The 17905-nt window shown below is 39.6% G+C and overlaps 1 protein-coding gene across 13 annotated transcripts in view; it reads right to left on the reverse strand.

Moving 5' to 3' along the window:
• The window catches only part of PDE10A (phosphodiesterase 10A), a 660764-nt gene that overhangs the window by 144802 nt on the left and 498057 nt on the right, over positions 1 to 17905 (reverse strand). For all 13 annotated transcript variants that reach the window (XM_011535387.4, XM_017010194.3, NM_001385079.1 and 10 more), the window contains one exon: positions 10225 to 10253. In XM_011535387.4, coding sequence (XP_011533689.2) covers positions 10225 to 10253 — 29 coding nt within the window. Of the gene's footprint in view, positions 1 to 10224; positions 10254 to 17905 lie in introns of those variants that run through there.

Genomic DNA, 17905 nt, shown 5'->3' on the forward strand with positions numbered 1-17905 from the left:
TGGTGGAATTACTCAGCAAAAGCTTTTGGGCCTCAGGTCATTTTAGGTGGTCTTTTCCTAATTTTTTCAGTTTTTTCACTATAGCAGTATATTCAGGTTTCTTAACTCTTCTTCAATTTTGATAATTTGTAATTTCCTCAACATTGGCCATTTCATATAAATTTGCAATTACATTAGTATATAGTATTTGCTATTCTCTCTTTAATTATTAATAATCTCCCTGGTGTCCATATTAATATTCCCTTTCTCATTCCTAATGCCTATATTTTCTTTTTTCTGAAATAGATTGCCAAAGACAATCTATTTTATGGAATTGATCTATTTAAAGAGCTATCTTTTGTATTATTAATCAAGTCTATATTTTAAATTTTGCTCCATTAATTTCTTCTCATATTTCATTAATTCATCCCCTGTGCTTTTTAAATTTGTTTTGGGTTTTCTAATAAATAATTGTAAGGACATAAATTTTAATCTTATTCTGGCTATATCTCTCAGGTTTGGTAGACTTTATCCCCATTTTACATTTGGGTTTAAAAAGCCGTTTTTCAAAAGGTCTTTCAGATTAGAATGTCAAATTAGGAATTCAAATCTAAGTGTCATTTACATTATACCAGAGAAGTTCTTCTGAATGTATAACACATAGAAGAAATAGAGATGCATTCTGGTAAAAGGAAATACAATTAGTTAACATACAGAAGTATGTGTATTTGCTTTAAATAAAAACATTAAAAGAGTGTCATACCATTTACACGTGAAAAGTTATATAATTGTTATTTTAATGGGACTACAATGAAACCTTCAACTGTAACAGTAATTTAGTTAAACCAACTTAACAGTGTGTGTTAAGTGTCATAAATAAGTCATGTCCTTTGACCTAGTAACCCTGGATCCTAGCATTGTTCCTTAGGAAATATTTCACAAGAATAAAACTGCTATATACATAAATATAACCAGTCTATGAAAATTTTAAAACAATCTAAATATCTACCAATAGAATGAAAAAGTAAAAAATTATCACACAGAAACTCAATGGGGCATTTTTAGTCACTAAAGATAATTTTAGACTGCATAAAATCATGAAATGCTTATAGCATAGTAAAAAACAGAAATCAAAATAATATGTGCATTGTAATTATTACCAAGTAAATATATGCATGTGAAGAAGACACTAGAAATAAACATTCCCAACTGATATAACTGACTGGATTAGACTGGTTTCAATACTTCTCAGAGACATAGTCCTGATCTCTTGAAAATGCAAGTAGAAATGATTTTAACTGAATTAATGTAGCTCTAGACAAAGCTGATAGGAACAGGATCCAAGCCCAGGTGTTGGAAGTCGTCTTCAGAAGGTAAATTCCAGTGTGATACTCAACCCCAAATACAGAAATAAGAAGAGAGTCCATGGAAAGACATTTTGATATACAGAATAACAACAAGGGCTTATATCACATAACCTCCGTCTTCTCAAAAATATAGAGGCCACTATAATTAAGAGTGATGGAGGCAAGGTTACAGCTGACAATTAAGTGGAGAGAAAAAAAATGTAGAACACCTGCCATGTAAAGAAATCTCATCAAGCCTGTATTTTGAAGCAAAGGAAAACACTGTGGCCAAACAGCCAAGAAAGCTCATATTTAATAGAAAAAAATAAAATAACTAAATAATCACTAAAGAAATGATGGCTTTTACAACCATACACTGGGAGTGTCTTCTCTAACATTACTGCAATCTACTTTAAGAAAATTCTATTCACAGAATAATATGTGCTTGTATAATAATTATCTGGTCAGTGGTTTAACAATTTCCACAAGGCTCAGGTACTCTTAATTTTCAAGTCATTCACTCAATTAAGGTAATGAACAGATTCATACAGAAACTCTGAAAATTCTAAATTCTATATTCAGTGACTGATTAGTTGTAGAGCATAATTATGATCACAACTAGTCAGACGTTGCCAAAGTTTCATTTGAAGTCACAGGATACAGTTGATTATGTTAATCCTCCTTTTTGGGGGAATGTCTTTTATAGAGTTCTCTCTTACTTTCTGAGAGGGGATACATTTGAAAGAGCTGAGGCAACAAAGCATCCCACCCTAGGTCTTCTGCAGCCAGGAGGTTCTTAAGCAGTATTGTAAGAACAGATGCCAGTTAAGGAACTTCTACCATCCAGTCCCTCATGGCCCAACACTATAAAATATTTTAAGCAAAACAAACAAAAAAACCAAAGTTAAATTGCAAAGAAGAAATAACATACAAGATACAAATTAATAAGAGATCTGAATAGCAGGGAGACACTCCTGTGTGAAATCACCAAAACATTCCTTAAAGAAGTAATGTTCACCTTCATATAAACTTTTTTCCTTCTGTGTAAACTTAGCATTGCTCTTCCAGTTCGAATTTGTAGTAAAAACATTTTGAAGGAAAAATTTGAGTAACTACCATCGAGTATTATGCTTATTACTGGGTGATGAACTAATCTTTACAATGACCCCCACCATTTACATGGGTACATTGTGACATGGAATTTACCCATGTAACAAACCTGCACATGCACCCTCGGTCCTAAAATAAAAGTCAGAAACAAGAAAAAAAAATCCATTTTACGCAACTTCTTGTTAGGCTAAATGAGGTTCTAATTCCACTCTTAGTATTTGTAAGTATTCAGACATACATCTAACATCCTAAATTTTTAATGACATTACTATTACAGAGAAGTATGGCTTCAACCAAATAAAACTAGACTCCATAAGGAAAAATTTTAAATAAGTGCCTGACATTGAGATCGAGAAAAAGAGAAAAAAGCAAGAGAGAGAGAAATAGAGCGAGTGAGTTTCTAAGTGTTTTTGGGCTACTGCTTTTTCGAGCTTCCATCAAACAACAGGAAAATTAAGCTCTACACATGCACCCGCATCCCTGGACCTCATCCCCTGCTACTCCACACATCTGCCAGGCTGGCCCACCTGCCCACTCCCCTGCTGCTGACCAATTCCTTCCACCATGCCCTGGAACTCACTAGCATGTGCAAACCCCTTCCATTCTCAAACTCCTCTGAAAGAAACCATTTTTCACACTTTTGCCCTAACCGAAACCTTCTTGCCCTCCTGATAATATTGTTTCCTATAACAAAACTGATTATAACATAATATAAAATTAATCTGTAGAATATATGGTCATAAGTATTAATAGATAATTCAGAAATTTCTTAAATGCATTAACAGAAATTTTATAAATATGAAGAAAACACTGGCTACACCAGGAAAAATAAGTATTTTAAAGTTGACATCCTATGAAAATCTCCCCATTCTCATATGAAATAAACAAAGAAAAGTGAAAAACAAGGAGAAAAGCTGAATTAGTGAAGAAACGAGGTGACTTTGGCTGCTGCATGCCATAAAATTCAAGACAATTTGGCTGGACATACCAGTGAAGCCAACTTGAAAACATTCACTAAGAACTTAATGAAAACGTCTCCTTCCCAAGAAAATTACACTGTTGCATCAAGTCCATAAAAAATATTCTGCGGGAAGTAATGACACAAGATCCCATTTAATATGCTGAGAGTTGGATGTGAGTTCATGCTCATGTCTGCAACAGGGCCCTGTATTTAGAAACACATGGAATAGAAATCCAGAGAAACTTCATGATTCACTAACTGAATTGAGCATTTCTTTTGAAACTTGGCATACAGAAACACTAAATAAAATGGATACAGTCATACTGTTTACCATGCTGGGTTAAAAGGAAAACAAGATAATGAAATCTGGATTCCAGCGCATCAATTTGTTTCAACCAACCTAGAGAAAAATCACTGTGATCAACTCCCCCTGTGAGAATGTCCACAACTCTAGTTTCCTCGGGGTTCCCCTCAGTCACTCCAGACTGAACTGGTGCCACCGACGCTCACTATCCAGCCCTCCAACACACTAAACAGGAGGATGCTAAGGACATTTACATGAATAGTAAACAGACATAAGGATAATCTATTAATGAAGAGCAGACCTAAAATCACTCAAGGATAAATACATTTAAAAAAAAATCAGCAAATGACTCCTCAACACATAAGACAAAAAGAAGAAAAAAAAAAACCAAAAATATCCAAAGCGTTAGTATTATACTAGAATACAGAGGATAGAAGCGAATTTGGGATGTCGTGTGAGACGGAAGATATGCAAAATGAATATAAAGAAAGCATCTGTTTTGCACTCTCAAGATAATTAAAGAATTAACAATGAGAGATTATCAACAGTATAATAAGACAGATTGAAATGAAGAAGAAACACCCAAAATACAGAAGTAACCTTTAATTTTAAAAGAGTCATTATGAATTTAAGCAGAACAAGAAACAGTAGAGAAGTTCAAGTCAATGACAAAGAGAATAAATCTGAGAGGTTCTAGAATGTGTAGTAAAAGAACCAGGAAAGGAGAAAGACATGGGTATTTCTAGTGACCTTGAAGAGAATGAAATAAATGTGAAAGAACCCCATGCACCAAGAAACAAGTGGCATAATACCCTGAACTAAAAAGGACTTTTAAAACAATTGAGAAAGCTCACCACATACTAGGTTAAATTACTCAAAATTAAAGCATCTACATGACCTAGTGAAAGTAACAAATTCAAAGAGCAAATGAGACACTTATAAATACATTCAGAAATGAAAAAGGCAACATTTACTAAGAAAAAGAATCAGAATGGTCTCAGATTTCTCCTTGAAAACATTAAATACAAGAGTGTGATGAAAAATACTGGAGCATTTTGGGGGTAAAGTCTATACCCACAAATTCTAGACCTGGCTGGAATTTGGCATTTTCTAGCAACTCAGCATCCAAATACTCTTCCTATTCTGACATTTTTATCTCCCTGTTCTTGTCAGAAATCTTTTTGACTTAGGAGCTGAAACCACTTAAAAAGAGTAATAGTAATAATAAAGTAAAGGATTAATATTGTGGATTAGATGGGAACAAATGACCAACAGAGATCTGACTGACAGAGTATCCCTCAAATCCCCCCCAGCGGCATCATCTCCGACCAAGGCTCCTTCCTTCACTCACTCAGATCTAGCCAAGATGGCTGCCTTGCTATGCCTCCAGGGATGTGCCAAGCATATTCCTGTCTCAGGGCCTTTGCACTTCCTGTACCATCTGCATGGAAAGCTCCTACCCGGTTCTCAGCATGGTTCACTCCTTCACTTCCCTTAGGTTTTTCCTCAAATGTGTTCCCAGTGAGCCAAGCTTGCCTGGTCCCACATCATTTACCCTGCCTCTCGCTTTTCTGTCTCCACAGCACTCATTACCACTGAGCACGGTGCCTGTGTTATTTATTTTTACTGACTCTACCACACACTATGTAAATGCCATGAGCGCAGGGATTTCTGTCTAGTTTGTCCTCGAGATATCTCAAGAGCCTAGATGAATTGGGACTCACCTAATATTTGTTGACTGAATGACAATGACTGATTAGAAAAATACAGTAGGTTAAGATACAGTAGTTTCAAAAGTGCATTTGACACAATCTCACATTATTCTCATAGGTGACATTTCCACACTCAGCATTTCCTAGATGATAATTATTGTAAAGGGGGCACAGGAAAGCAGCTTGGAAAAAACATCAAATTTGAGACTTCGAAACATAGAGAAATAAATAATATGTTAGATAACAGAAATAAAACTGAGACTCATCTCAATAAGCTGAGATGGATCAAAAGATGGAATGAAGGTGAAATAAAGGTACAGTCCTGCAGCTAAAATTCTAAAACAAAATCTGCTGACAAACTTTTTGGTCTCCTCTGACTTCACTGATTTCTCCTTCTTTCTCTCCTCTGCTGACTTTCCACATCTTCTCCACCACTCAACAAGTGGAGTGTCCAGTTTAGTGCTTGGGTCTTGACTCTTTTCTCCACAGACAAGCTCTCTAAGAAGTGTCACCTACTCCCACGGCCTTAAACATCATTTATACACCACGAACTCCCAAATGCATATCTCTACCTACGAACTTTTCTTTTAATTTGACCATATATGCACTTGCTTTCTAAAAATCTCCAATTCCGTATCTGATTCCTTAAACTTACTAATTTTCCAATCTCAATCAACCCCATTCCTCCTATAGTTTTCTGCATAACAGTAAGGAGAAATTTTATTCTATCAAGTGCTCAGATCAAAAAAGTTGGGAGTCATTACTCATTCCTCTCTTCTCACCCACCATATACAACTACAAACCAAAAATAAAACAGTACATTCCCCAACTGACTGAAAGACTGTCCTCTTAGCCAAGGGCATTCCAAAGTAGACCTGAAAATCTAGTTCAGGCAATGATGGGGGGGAGGGGGTTGGACATGTCTCATTACAACCTTCTCCCTTTGAAATTCAGGCACAGCTGACCAGCATTAACACTAAAAAAGGTTTTAAGACTGATGAAACAGACTTTTTGTAGCTATAAGACATCAAACTCCAGCCTGACTCTAGTATAGCAGCATCACATGACGGCAGGCCCTGAAAGAAATTGAAGTATTTTACCCCAAATATATTTCTTTGACATATGTTGAAATGGCCCTGCAAAGCTGTCTCCTGGGGAAAATCTACATTCTGTAGAGAAACCCTTTCCCTTTCCAGGTCTTTTCTCTGATCCAGGAGAGTCTAAGATTCTGGTAGCTGTCTGGTCTGATAAGAGCTCTGAAACCTGCTACTTGGGGGCTTCATTTGCATGATAAAAGCTTGGGCTCCAAAACCCTTACCTTAAGCCAGACATTCCTTTCTATTGATTCCAGGTCTCTGATAATAACTCTTTCAACTAATTGCCCATCAGAAAATTTTTGAATCCGACTATGACCTGGATGCTACCTGGCCCCCATGCTTCCAGCTGTCCTACCTTTCCAGACCAAACCAAGGGACATGTACTGAATGATATCTTATGTCTCCCTAAAATGTATAAAACCAAGCTGTAGCCCAACTATTCTGGACACACCTCAGAACCTCCTGAGGTTGTCATAGGCATGTCCTTAACCTTGTCAAAATCAGCTTCTAAGTAGACTGTAACAGGTCTTGGATACTTTTTGGTTTACCCTCCCATAAACAAAGCCTGTCTGCTCTTTCTTCTTCTACACCCAACCTCTGATCCTAGTTCACCATTACAACCCTAATCCTAGCCATCATCCTCCCCTGCCTACACTCCTAGACTACCACTGGGTCTACCTGTTTCCACTCTTACTGTGTATACTCTCAATTCGACAGCTAGAAGACCTAAATACCCCCAATTCCATTCCAACCTTATTTCTTACTGGTCTCCGCATGACTCACTCTGCACCTGTCACAATGGCCTACCTCAGGGCCTCTGCAGTTCCTGTCTCCTCCTTCTGCTGATTCTCTCATTCCCTTCAGATTCCCGCTCAAATTTCACTTATGAAATTAACCTCTCCTGACCACTGCATATGTGCAATAAGCCAATAAGCACCCTCTGAACCACCATCACTCTGAAGCCCCTTATTCTGCTTTATTCTTCCATGTATTCATCATAGTATTTATCACTGCCTGATAGATGTACACAAACACACATATACACATCCATAAATTTTCTGAACTGTTTCCACAACTCCCCTCTATACTATGAGAACCTGAATACTGTCGATTTTGCTCACCATTGTATCCACAGCACCTTAGAACAATGCCTAAAACAGAAATGCTAAAAAAATATTGGTCATTGAATGATAGGTAAGAAGACAGGGAAACAAAGAGAGGAAAGGAAAATAGAGAAAAGGGAAGGGGAAGAGACATAAAACCTACAGGTCTGACTTCATGAAAAAATAATGATAGTTTACTCAAAGCTCAATAACCAGAAATGGAATGTAGCTTCTTTAAAAAACTAATTCTCCATTAAAACCGTACTGACAGATACATAGGTTTCAAACTAAGACAGGTATCTGTCCCACCTCATTTTACCAGGGTCAAGACGCAATTAGTCTGTAGTGTTAAGGCTGCAATGTTTTAAAGATATATTAATAATATATAGTTTGTCCAAAGACTGTCAACCCACATCTTAAGGAGGCATATGGAAAATAAAGTTTAGAAACTAAGATGTTTTACTAGAAAAGACATAACATAATCCCTATACTCAAAGGGTTTGGATACGAAATAAAAGTCAAAACAAATACTGGAGAATGGCCATTTTGGGAGGCTGCTTGGTTCTAAATGAGAAAGTACTTCATCATAATTAGAACTGCCTAGGCTGGGCTCAGTGGCTCAAACCTGTAATCCCAGCACCTTGGGAGGCTGAGGTAGGAAGATCACTTGAGCCCAGGAGTTCAACACTAGCTTGGGCAACATGGAAAAATCCCATCTCTATTTAAAAAAAAAATTAGCTGGGCATGGTGGCACAGGCCTGTAGTCCCAGCTATTTAGGAGGCTGAGGTGGGAGGATCATCTGAACTCGGGCAGTCAAGGCTGAAGTGAGCTGACTGTACCACTGTACTTCAGCCTGGGTGATGAACTGAGGCTTTGCCTCAATTAAAAAAAAAAAGTATATGAGAAAGAGAAAGGGGAAAGAAAAAACAAAACCAAAACAAAACAGAACTGCCTGAGAGTGTAACCAGCACCTTTAGTGGAACTAAAGAGCATGCCTTCTGTCAGGGATGTGTTAGAGCAGAAGCCCTCTGGCCAGTCACCACCTACCAAAAGGTTGCCCGAGGAATTTCTAAATCTGAATCTTTATTGAAAATAGTGGCATACTATTTCATAAGGAAACTCTGAGTATTAGTCAAATAAGTATTGATCAAGATACGGGGTACGTTTTTTCAAAAAAACGTTATAGAGATCTTGGCAACTGATACCATTTCTAGGTTATCAGCTCATACCTTTAGTATTTCTCAGAGATGCGCTTTTCTCCAAATTTGGCATAATGTAAGAGAATCTTATGAATAATAGCGAAGAAAAATCACTACATAAAGTTTCATCATTTTTTCTAATGGCCTTATAAAACAGTATGTGGTATTGTCAATGACACTGTCTGAACACATGGCAGCTTTGCCAATATCAACACTGTAATATTTTATGACTCTGCCAAAGTTCACTTTTCAGAGTCCCCATCTTATCCTCAAGCATCACTTTTCAGCATTTTCTGCTGCTCCTAGCAGCTGCCAAAATTCTAGGTCCACCCCTCTGTCACTTCCTGGTACCTTTTAAGCGTCCAGACCAAGGAACTCTTCAATTGTGAGTTCCACAAATGTGACATTAATAGCGAAGGCACCCAGTGAAACCCTGAGACTCACAGAGACCTCAAGAGAATCCTACATTGCTATGGACACAAGGAATTCTTCCCTCCCCTATCTCCACACCCCCAACCCCCAGCGCTGGCCCAGGTCATTTTAGAGATTTCTTTCTTCAGATGATCAAAAATAAAGGAATATATCTGCATATGTGATTCTATTAAGTTTTTCAATTTATGTCTTACAATAAAAACTGATCTCTAAGGTTGCATTAAGTTCCATTCAAACTGATTATTTTCAATATTTCATCCACACTTAAGATCTTTATCTGTGTAATACAGAAAAAACTAAGACACTTTTTTCCAAATGTAATTAATCACTTATAATTTTATAGCATAACCAGTATACTAAATGCTTTCAGTACTCACCTGCCATAGTTTTTAAGCTTGCTAAGACTCTTAACTAGGCCATGAAAACAGTACCTTTAATATTTATAAAATTTCTAAGCAATATCTTGCTTTCAACACGAGTTGTCATCTTTTGTTCTCCCAAAAAGAAAGTGCATGAACTCAAAGGCAGAGGTTGGGCAGGTAGCGGACATGAGTAAAGCCAGCTACATGGAGGACTGGGGCTGCCTGGAGAGCATCATGCAGCTGAAGGCAGCTTCCGCTTCCCACCCTGGGAAGACTGCTGCCCTGTGAGAGTTATCTTACCTTCTGGTTCAAGGGAAGCCAGAAATCCAATCTTTACATACAGTGTCTCAATTTCTAAATGTTGGCAACTGACTCAGAAAACCCCATAGGCACGTGCAGCCGAACAAAATGCATCTGTGTGCCGTACTCAGTCTTGAGGCCTTCAATTTGCACCCTCTCTACTGACTTTATTCCATATTAATGAGTGATACTTTGGAGAGGAAACTCAGTTTTTGCCATAATCTTTCTGATACTTTAATGTGTTAGAGTACTGAGAGATAAACAAAACAGATTCATTTCCTATACTGCAGTAGTAGAAATAATATTCACATCACTTACCCTGCTGACTTCCTTAGGAGCTGATTCATCTGGGGATAGAGAAGGAAGAGGGAAAAACACAATTAGCGACTGAGTAGGTTTTAAAATACAAAACATGTCATTTGCTTTCAATAAACTTGAAGGGTTTTTTTGCAATGCTTCCTCTTACGAAATCTATGAATTTGATTTTTTAAACTGTAAAGGTTGAACATAACATATTACGAGTTAAGAAGTATACATTAATTTCACAGGGAAAATGAAATACCACCACCGCCTTACCTTTCTAGAGGTTCTAAAATGGATATGATATGCCTGCAAGAATAGCTACACTGGGGTATATTCAACTACACATACCTAAAGTGGGGTTTATAACACTTCAATATTCTACACAATACAACCCACATGAATATCCCAAATGACCTTTAACACTCGTGCTTCGAAGGTTAGTTCCAGCAGACCTGGAGCTGGTGTGAGCTGTTCTGTTGAAATAAGAAATGTACCTGCATGGCACTCTGGTCAAGGCATGAAACATAGTCATTAATAATAGTGCTGCTTTGTTCCGTGTGTCTGAGGAGTTGTGGGGTTGTTTATACCAGCTTGTCAGCATTGGTGATTGGTAAAGTGAGACTGGGGTGGTTTGCACAGGGTCTAGGTGAGAATCCCTGGAAGGCTCTCCCACTGGGGCTGGCTACAGGCAAGAAGATGCCTGTGTGACCAACAGGGTATAAAACAAGCTGGCAGATACCTCCTCTTGGTCCACCAGTTCTGAGTGTTGCACACACAGGTCATTGATTCTGATCTGTGAGAAAGTGTGTGTCCCTAAGAGGAGGGGCCACTGGAGCTCAGCCTGGCATCAACAGGCTCCTTGCTGTCTTTTTCCTGTAATAAACTTCAGATCTGCAAGCACTATCATTTTGGTTCCTGTGTCTTCTTGAGCAATCAAACCCTGTTGTCTGTCACCATCAGAATGAACTTAACATACCAAAAATGGAATGTAGCTCAATGCTATAGGACAGCAGGTATTCAAATCAACAGTACCTAGTTTTTGTATTACTGTATTAATACACACTTGCTCATATATTTTCTTATCATTGTTGCATAATGGTTAGAGTACGGCCTCTGACTTCCCTAAGAATGTAACACATGTAACAATTGTCATAGGGAAAATATCTTATCTTCTACATTGAAGTGGCACCATAGAAATATTTCATTTACTCTTCAACTCCTAATCCTCTCCTAAGCCTCTCTGAAGATGAGACTATTTAATCATTACAACAAATTTATTAACAGATTCTAAAGTTACAGAGGCATATGTGCTTTTAATTTTTTAAAGTTTTGATCTAAAATATTTAATGAGAATGTTTGAAAAAGTCAAACAATTAAAAGGTATATAATTAAAAGGAGCAATGTGTGAACAGGTTTAATATCAAGACCGCATAGAGTCACCTAGCTATGACATTATGGAATTTTCTACCCTCTGCTAGTCACCACTACAGATCTGAAAATTAGTTCAAGGACAGTGTGAATGTCCAGACATCTGTAAATAAATGTTCCTTTGGCTTTTTCTCTTAGTCTTGCTTAGTTAGTACTTCTCAAACTTGAGTGTGCATAAGATAGCCTGTGACATGTGTTTATAAAATCAATAATTTTTTGCTTTATGGGCAATTTAAAGTATTTGAAAGAAAAAAATTTACCTATGGCTGATTTCTGGCTTTTCCCCTTAGGAGCTGATTTAGAAAATCAATGTCTCCAACTTAACACTCAATTTTAGTTAAATCAATGTTAAGTCTAGTATATTTAAGAACTATAGTATTCTACTTAACTGAGAAAATTAAGGAACACAGTGGGATTTCCTGTGTAAGGGAACATTGCCTCCTATTTCTTATAGTTGGAATTTTCATTTAGTTGAACTCTCTTGCCCAAGAAAAATTTAAGCATGTTGAAGACAGAAACTTTACTTTCTCTTCTAGAGTAGAGTTGCACTGTGGGAACACATATGATAGACAGTGGCTTAGAGCAGGAGGCCGGAACTGGGCCACACAGCAGGAGGTGAGCGGCGGCAAGCGGGCGAAGCTTCATCCGTATTCACAACTGCTCTCTGTCACTGCGTTACTGCCTGAGCTCCGCCTCCTGTCAGGTCAGCAGTGGCATTAGATTCTCATAGAGCGCAAACCCTACTGCGAACTGCACTTGCTTGCTTGGGATCTAGGCTGTGTGCTCCTTATGAGAATCTAGTGCCCGATGATCTGAGATGGAGCTGAGGTGGTGATGCTAGCGCTGGGGAGTGGCTGCAAATACAGATTAACATTAGCAGAGAGGTTTGACAGCACAGAGACCACAGGAAATTAACTGCTTGCACACTCATATCAAAACTCTATCAGTGAGGGGCAAGTGACAAGCTGCATCTGGCTGGTGGCAGGCTTTACAGTGGCAAGTGAGCTGAGTGCTTCAATTGCACAGCTGCATCTGGTGGCAGCTTTAACTCAGAATCTGACACTTATTTAGTCCACGTGTGACTTGCCTATTATTTTATTTACCACTTCCATCTGCACCTCTTTCCCACACTATGCACTTGTCTCAGTCACAGTTTTGGGAAGCCCACAAGCCAACCCTAGCCAAGATGAGTAAAAGACAAACATCACTGTAGAGCTTCTTTGAAAAGGGGGAAGACCTCATCATGAGAAAGCAGAAGACTCCAAGACTGCCAATGAAAAGAAAGCTGCATTTAATAGAAAATAACAAGTCCTACTTAAATTATGGGTTCATTGCAACAGGTGATGCACATTCTTCAAGTCCACTGTGTATATGTGGTGACCAGCTATCCAAGGAAGCCATGAAACCTTCAAAACTGCATTACCACACGGAGACCAAGCACCCTGCATTAAAAGACAAGCCTGGCTGGACGCGGTGGCTCACGCCTGTAATCCTAGCACTTTGAGAGGCCGAGGCGGATGGATCACGAGGTCAGATCGAGACCATCCCGGCTAACACAGTGAAGCCCCGTCTCTACTAAAAATACAAAAAATTAGCCGGGCATGGTGGTACATGCCTGTAATCCCAGCTACTCTGGAGGCTGAGGCAGGAGAATCACTTGAACCCAGGAGGCAGAGGTTGCAGTGAGCCAAGGTCACATGACTGCACTCCAGCCTGGGTGACAGAGTGAGACTCTGTCTCAAAAAAAAAAAAAAAAAAAGACAAGTCTTTGGAGTTTTCAAAAAAATTAAAAAATGTGTACACCAAGAACACAGGCAATTATTGAAGGCCACCAACTTCATCAAATGTGTCTACACTGACAGCATCCTTTTTTTTTTTTTTTGAGATGGATTTTCACTCTTGTTGCCCAGGCTGGAGTGCAATGGCGTGATCTCAGCTCACTGCAACCTCTGCCTTCCGGGTTCAAGCAATACTCCTGCCTCAGCCTCCTGAGTAGCTGGGACTGCAGGCGCCCGCCACCATGCCTGACTAATTTTTTGTATTTTTAGTAGAGACAGGGTTTCATCATGTTGGCCAGGCTGGTCTCGAACTCCTGACTTCAGATGATCCACCCTCCTCAGCCTCCCAAAGTGCAGGGATTACAGGCGTGAGCTACCGCGCCCGGCGGAGAGCATCACTCTTAGTGGCTAACTGCGTTGCTGAAGCTAACAGGCCCTTTACTGTTGGTGAAGAGTTGATCCTGCCTGCTGCTAAGGACATTTGTTGTCAACTTTTAGGAGAGGCTGCAGTTCGAAAGGTGGCAGGTGTTCCTCTTTCGGCTAGCAACGTAACTAGAGGAATTAATGAAATAGCAGAGGATACTGAGACACAACTGTAAAAGGGGATTAATGAATCACCAATGGCACACAATCCAGGTTGACGAGTCTATCAATGTTGACAGCAAGGCAACAATGCTTGTTAATGTGTGATATATTTTTCGGGGGGATGTGCATGAGGATATGTTATGTGCACTTTTGTTGCCAACGAACACCACAGCTGCAGAACTATTCTAGTCTGTGAATGATTACATATCAGAAAAACTAAATTGGTCATTTTGTGTTGGTATACACATGGACAGAGCAGCTGCCACGACTGGATGGCTTTCTGGTTTCACTACTCAGGTCAAACAGGTCGCTTCTGTATATAAGTACTACATACTAAACAATTGTGTGGCTGGAGCTCCTTAGGTCGCTTCTGAATGTGAGTCTGTGCACTGTGTCATCCATAGAGAAAGGCTGGCGAGCTGAAAAATGTCACGTGAACAACGTTCAGCAGAATGTGATTAAAAGTATCAACCACATTAAAGTACGTGCCCTTAACTCACGTCTGTTCGCACAGCTCTGTGAGGAGATGGACGCAGAGCACACACATCTCATACACGGAAGTGAGATGCTTTCTAAAGGTAGATTGCTGGCCAGAGTTTTGGAAACCACCCCAGAGATGTCTTTTAGAAAAAAAGTCACCATTGGCAGCACATTTCAGTGACATAGAATGGGCTGCAAAACTTGCTTACTTGTGTGACCTATTTAACCTGTTCAATGAAATCAATCTGTCACTTCAGGGGAGAATGACAGCTGTGTTCAAGTCGGCAGATAAAGCAGCTGCATTCAAAGCCAAAGTGGAATTACGAGGGTGACGAGTGAACACTGGGATTTCTGACATGTTTCAAACATTAGCAGAGATTGTGAAAGAGATGGAGCCAGGGCCTTCTTTCCCACGGCTGACACGTGATCACCTACCCAATACTACCAACCACAAAAGAACCCCCAACTGGGAAGGAATGGATCCGCGACGCATTTGTGAATAAGCCCGGTAAACTGACTCTCTGTGCTAGAAGAGGATCAACTGCTTGAGATGGCAAATGACAGTGGCTTTAAAAATATGTTTGAGACAACTTCAAATCTCCATATGTTCTGGATGAAAGTCCAGGTAGAATATCCTGAGGTTGCCACAAAAGCACTGAAAAGCCTGCTTCCGTGTCCAACAACCTGTCTTTGTGAAGCAGGGTTTTCTGCAGTGACAGCGACTAAAATGAGATTACAGAGTAGCCTGGACATAAGTGACACACTTCAGGTGTCACTGTCTCCCGTCACCCCAGACGGGACTGTCTAGTTGCAGGGAAAAAAGCTCAGGGCTTCCACTAATTCTACATCATGGTGAGTTGTACCATTATTTCATTATATATTACAACATAATAATAATACAAATAACACAATAAATGTAACATGCTTGAATCATCCTGAAACCACTCCTCCGACCAGTCTGTGAAACATCTGTCTTCCACAAAACTGGTCCCTGGTGCCAAAAGGTTGGGAACCGCTGGTTTAGAGCATGGACTAAGGTTTGAAGCCCAAACCTGCAGTCACTAGTGATATTACATTGGGCAAGGTGCCTAACTTCTGCCACCTTACAAGTTCAAAGTGAAATAAGTTAACAATATAAATTGTTACTGAAAAAGAGTGTCCCTCCCCCAGCACAAAGACCATTTTCAAGGTAACACAGAGAGAATACTGCCCCCTCCCACTGATGCAGTTCATGATTCCTTGCAGATCTTACAGGAATTTCAGGTTAAGAACACATGGTGTAGAATGTTCCCTTTTCCCTGCACACTTGCAGCACACACTCAGCGGTGAAGTACCAGAACAGCATTTCACTCAGATCAGCAATGAAGCTCTCTTTGAAATAAAAAGTTAGAGGAACATGGAAAAGAAGAAAATTGCCAGGAATACCAAATTTTGAGGCACTGATGAGGAACAAATTGGCAAAAAAAAAAAAAAAAAAAAAAAAAGTTCCAGAGGACATTAATTTTTATGCAGCATAGGATTTTTATAAACATGTGTTTTTATTCAACAAATATTTACTGAGGAACCACTGTGTGCCAGGAACTTATCTCTGACCTCAATAAACTTGCATACCAGTGGGATGAATAAATTAGGAAACAAATAGATGAAATAATTTCAGAAAATAAATGTCTATGCTTGTTAAAGAGAAATTTAGTTTTTAGAGAAAGATAAAGCATCTTTGATCCAAACCTCATTTTAATACCTTTTAAAAGCCTTAGCAAGGATAGTTTATGGGAAAAATAAATGCGCTAAGGGGATTTTATAGTAAGCACAGCGTTCACAGCAAGTACTTAATAGGATAGCCTTCAAGGGAAGAAATTAATTTTAAATACTTTATAAATCAAAATCTGGGAAAATGGTGGATAGGAGGCAGGCCTAACTTGCAGCTCCCACTCGGTGGACAGAGCAGCCTGTGTAAAGCCACATCGTGAACTTTTGCTCCAAGAACTACCAAAGGAACATCCCAGGCAAGCCTAGAGAATCCACAGACCCTTTGTAGGAGGTGGATTGCAGCTGCAGGCTCCATGAGACAGCCGAGGAACTGTGGGTTCACTTGCTTTCTCAGATGGAGGCTTGTACCCTGGGGCAAGTTCTCAGCCCTGCTCACCACCTGTCTGGAAATAAACTCAGTGTGTTGCGGGGCATGGTGGGTGTGAGCTGCAGGCTCCACGGGAGCTGGGTGAGGCCTGTGGCTGCCGGCTTTACCCCACTTTTCTGGTGACCTATATGTCACAGCAGAGGCCCCCTGGGAACGTAACTCCATTGGTCTAGGAACCACACTCCCATCCCGCACAGCAGTCACAGCAACCCCTGCCCAAGGGGAGTCTGAGATCAGACATGCCCAACCCTGCCTCCACCTGATGGTCTTTCTCTACCTGCCCTGGTAACCAAAGACAAAGCCCACCCTGCCCATCGCTGTAGAAACCTGAATATTTACCCAAAGGCGACCCTAGGGCGAGCTTGTCTTCTCACTATACAACCTCAGCTGATGCACTCTTGACAGTGCCACCTCCTGGCTGGAGGACAACCAACACAAAACCAGTGCACTAAACAAAAACACAACCAAGGACCCTCACAGAGTCCATTTCACTCCCTGCTACCTCCACTGGAGCAGGTGCTGGTATCCACAGCTGAAAGACCTAAAGATGGATCACATCATGGGACTCTCTGCAGACACTCCCCAGAGACAAGTTGGAACCTGGTAGTTCTGCTGTGTGGTTACATTCAGAAGATAAATAATAATTGTTGCAGTTCGACTCTCAGGAAGCCCCATTCCTAGGGGAAGGGGAAGAAAATCACATCAAGGGAGCACCCCATGGGATAAAAGAATCTGAACAGCAGCCCTTGAGTCCCAGACCTTCCCTCTGACAACAGTCTACCCAAATGAGAAGGAACCAGAGAAACAATTCTGGTAATATGACAAAACAAGGTTCTTTAACACCCCAAAAGATCATACTAGCTCACCAGCAATGGATCTAAACCAAGATGAAATCTCTGAATTGCCAGAAAAAGAATTCAGGTCGACTATTAAGCTAATTAAGGAGGCACCAGAGAAAGGTGAAATCCAACTTAAAGAAATCAAAAAAAATGACACAGGATATCAATGGAAAAATCTCTAGTGAAATAGACAGCATAAATAAAAAACAATCACAACTTCCGGAAATGAAGGAGACACTTAGAGAATTGCAAAATGCACTGGAAAGTCTCAGCAATAGAATCAAACAAATAGAAGAACTCCAGAGCTCAAAGAGAAAGCTTTCAAATTAACCCAATCTAACAAATGCAAAGAAAAAAGAATTTAATAAATGAACAAAGCCTCCAAGAAGTTTAAAATTACGTTAAACAACCAAACCTAAGAATAATTGGTGTTCCTGAGGAAGAAAATA

This window comes from Homo sapiens, chromosome 6 (genome assembly GCF_000001405.40).
Source record: "Homo sapiens chromosome 6, GRCh38.p14 Primary Assembly".
NCBI lineage: Eukaryota > Metazoa > Chordata > Mammalia > Primates > Hominidae > Homo > Homo sapiens.